We start from the raw sequence: 4,031 nt of genomic DNA on the forward strand, positions 1-4,031 counted from the left end.
CACCACAGTGATTACCTCTGAGTGTTAAAGACGGGGATTAACTGGGAAGAAGTAGGAGAAACTTCCTCTGGTAAAAACAGTGTTTACTTTAGACAAATCGAGGTGTACATTTTCCCAAATTCAACTAGTGTGCACTTAAGATTTGTAAATGTATCTGTAAATTATACATTAAAATTATATAAATATTATTACATAACATGGTGTATATTATAATATAGTTTGGATATTTATTCCCACAAACCTCATGTTGAAATTTGGTCCCCACTGTTAGAGGTGGGGCCTAATGGGAGGTATTGGGTCATGGGGGCAGATTTCTGAGTATATGAATCCCCTTCCTTGAGGTGGGAGGGTGAGAAAGTTATCACTCTATTTGTTCCTGAGAGAGCTCGTTGGTAAAAGGAGCCTGGCAGTTCCCCTCCCTCTCACTTCCTCTCCCTTCATGTGATCTCTGCACAGCTCCATTCACCTTCTGCCATGAGTAGAAGCAGCCTGAGGCCCTCCCCAGATGCAGATGCCCAAACTTGAACTTTTCCAGGTATCAGAATCATCAGCCAAAACCTTTTCTCTCTATAAATTATCAAGCCTCAGGTATTCCTTTATAGTAACACTAAAAAGGCTAAGACAAGCAATACTTTATATTATTTAGTATGTGTTATTAATAATGTAATGTGAAATACAACATTATTTCAAGATAGTTGGAGAGGGAGAAAGATTTGCAAAGCAGGCAACGCAGTTATTTGTTCCATGAGGTTCTTAAGTTTAGGTGAACATCTAAAGCCCAGATCTGTGAGATACATGAGAACATGTGTTATATTTGATATGTAGTCATATAAATTATAATACTTGTCTAAAACAAAAATTATATGCAAATATTGAACTCTAATTAATGGGTGTTAATAATTAATCAAATGTCTGCACTTTACTCTGATGGATAGAAGGAATAACAGATGGATACATGCGATAAAACAAGTATACTAAAGTGTTAATGGTAGAATTTCAGGTGTGAGTATATGGATATTTACTGTGAAGTTTTGTCAACTTTGTCACATCCTTGAACCTCTTCAAAATAAAAATATATATCTTTATGAAGCACATATTTTTGCACAGATTTATGCATCTATATGTGTGTAGTTGTACACAGGTACACATACATGTATGTGTGCTAAACAAAATCTAAGGACCTCAATGACAAAGTACAATATAACTTTTGTGGTCACGTTCCATATTATTAAAGCCTCAAATCCTTGTATTAAATACAGAAATGTTTTCTAAAACAACTTTGGCCCTGCCCAAAACATCTTCCTTTAGCCATCTGCACAGAGAGGATGTTGATTCTGACGTGTACCTGCTCCAGGCACCTCATTCTGCAAAGAGAAGTCTCACCTCTTCATCAGTTGAAATTCAAAGTATGCAAATATTTTACTAACAATAAATTGGCTTTTTTTCCCCTGCTGCTGCTAGGGAAAAAAAAATGACCCATTCATTGAAAGATACATTTATACTTGGATCCAGCCAGACTGTCATGGATCTAAAGACATTTGTATCAAAATAGTAGATACAATATTGTTGGATTCTTCCTAGAACTGACATGATGCTCTACAGGGCACTAAAGGACATTATAAGAAATGTGTATGAAATTCAATATTGTAAATATTAAAAGATGTTGCTAATACCATAGTCCAATATCATTCCATGTCCTCATTATATAAGAATGAGAAGTATCCATTTCATTGTTTTCAGTATCAGGAAAAGCTTTACTTACCCTGAGTGACCAGCGTATTTATACATGGATGGCATGACTTTTACCGTCACGCCATCTCAGTTTCTTGCAAGGGAGCTCAGAGCCAAATTTCTAGTGCACCACTAGAAGCGACCCTTAGATAAACATCCTAGAATCATAAAACTCCCCTGCCCTCATTTCCTCTTCCCCATATTCTCCAGCTGAATATTTTACTCTCTGTGATGGTTTGTACATTTTTAAAATTATTTTTAACTCAAATTAGCACCTATGACAGTTTTTGTCATTAATATAATTAGCGATCATGATCTATTTTATCACCAGCATCCCTCTGTTCAATTACTTACATATCTTTGGCATTATGTTTATGCATACAAACTAACTTTATGCACCCCTTTTAAGTAACTAAAATAAATCATTTAGAGGGCTTATTGTAAGGAAGGAAGGAGGAAGAAAGAAAATCAGCAAGGGAAAGCAAGGGACATTATAAAATTCCTGCTCAATCAGAAAAAAAAATGTAAAATATTAATAAAATGTCACTCTTTGCTGACTCAAATCCAACCAAATACAAATTCATGTCAGCACCTGCATTCAGCAACCTATTGATCCAATGTCTCCATAGCAAATGCAGAAAGTTGATTTAAGGCTTACTAATAATGAGTGTTAGTCATCAGATATCATATGATTCTTACCAACTAGGTTTGTGGATTGTCATTTTAAGGAAAAAAAAGTAGTCTCCTCACACCTTTTCTTCTGTACAATGAATAGAAGGAAAATATTTTTGCCACAAACTCTACATGGATTATGGGATAGATATCACGCCATCAGAATCAAGAAATTATAAGTAGAAATCACAGCATAAGAGATTTTTTATGATGCCACAAAATAATCATTTTCTAAACATAAACATTAATTTTACTTGTGAAGCAATAACACTTTGAGTGCCTGTTATTCATACAATATTACATTATTTCAGGATTGTTGGAGGTTTGCAAAGTAGACGACACAATATTTGTTCCATGAGGTTCTTAAGTTTAGGTGAACATCTGAAGCCCAGATCTGTGAGATGCCTGAGAGTATGAGTAGAAGAAGGACAATTGCAAGGGCCACCGTGAGCTCCGTGTTTCACACTCAAGTTCTACAGGGAAGTGGCGAAAGGGCCGCATGACTATGAGGGTGCAATGGGCCCCTAGGAGACTTGCCTCAGGCCATGTCCTAGGGTTTTTTAAAGCCTTGTGGCAGATGTGCTGGTGAGCAACATGCAGCAGTTCCATCAGGACAGAGTGACTCACCAGAATGTGGAAAAAATATGTTCCACAACTTAAGAGCGAATAAAGCTGTGGCTATGCTCCTCCACCCCGTATAACCAGTGTGGGTCAGGTATTTCAGTATGGAATACATGCTTTTATGTCACATCAAGCAATTTTCATCTAGCTTTAGTCATCAAGTGTAAGCAATACTGAGGCTTTTAACAAGGTAATATATACTAAATTTCCTCTCAAAGTAAGCACAGACGAATCAAAAAATAACAAGGAGAGGGCGAAGCATCCTAAACTAAACATAATTATTCTTACACTAGAAAGAAAGACCATTTTTTTACACAGGCAGTAAAACTCCAAGATGTTCTCATCCATTTGTGTCGGAAAGAAAATGACAGACAAAGAGAGAAGAATTGTTAGCCATGAAACCACAGCAGTACTTTTATCTGAATTTTGAATTAAAAAGCCAACATATAATTTCTTTAAAATTGTTTAAATTCTTACTTGCAAAGCAGTTGGAAAATGAGCTCCAAACCAGCTGAAGGGAAACGTCGTCTGACAATTTTGAAGAACTCACATCTAAAACCTTGACACATACAAAGCATTAAAAAAAGGAAAGAAAACTTTCCACAAACTTTGAAGCCACGTGACTTCAACTTTAGTCCCTGTAGCAACTTCTCCTTTTCCCCTGTTTGTTCATATTCAAAACTCTCATGCTAATGTATACAGATTTACCTATTATATGAAAGGGATTTGCATTCAGTTCTCTGTGTAAGACTGAATCAGAAATTAAGTAATAACTTTTTGTGAAAAATTGAACTTGTTTCTTTATGACTTTCTTAATTACTGTAAAGACTACAGCCTGTCATCTTATCGAGCAACTGAGATTTTTTAATTGCTCTTTGACATCTTTGCTATGTGTTTCACCTAATTCATCAGAAACTGTCATGATTCAATGGTATAAACAATAAACAAAAATCCAGGAGGGGAAATGCAAGAGAGAAACCCTGGCACGGGCATGGCTGCAGCCTCAG

The sequence above is a fragment of the Homo sapiens genome, chromosome 8, assembly GCF_000001405.40.
Source record: "Homo sapiens chromosome 8, GRCh38.p14 Primary Assembly".
NCBI classification, from domain to species: Eukaryota; Metazoa; Chordata; class Mammalia; order Primates; family Hominidae; genus Homo; species Homo sapiens.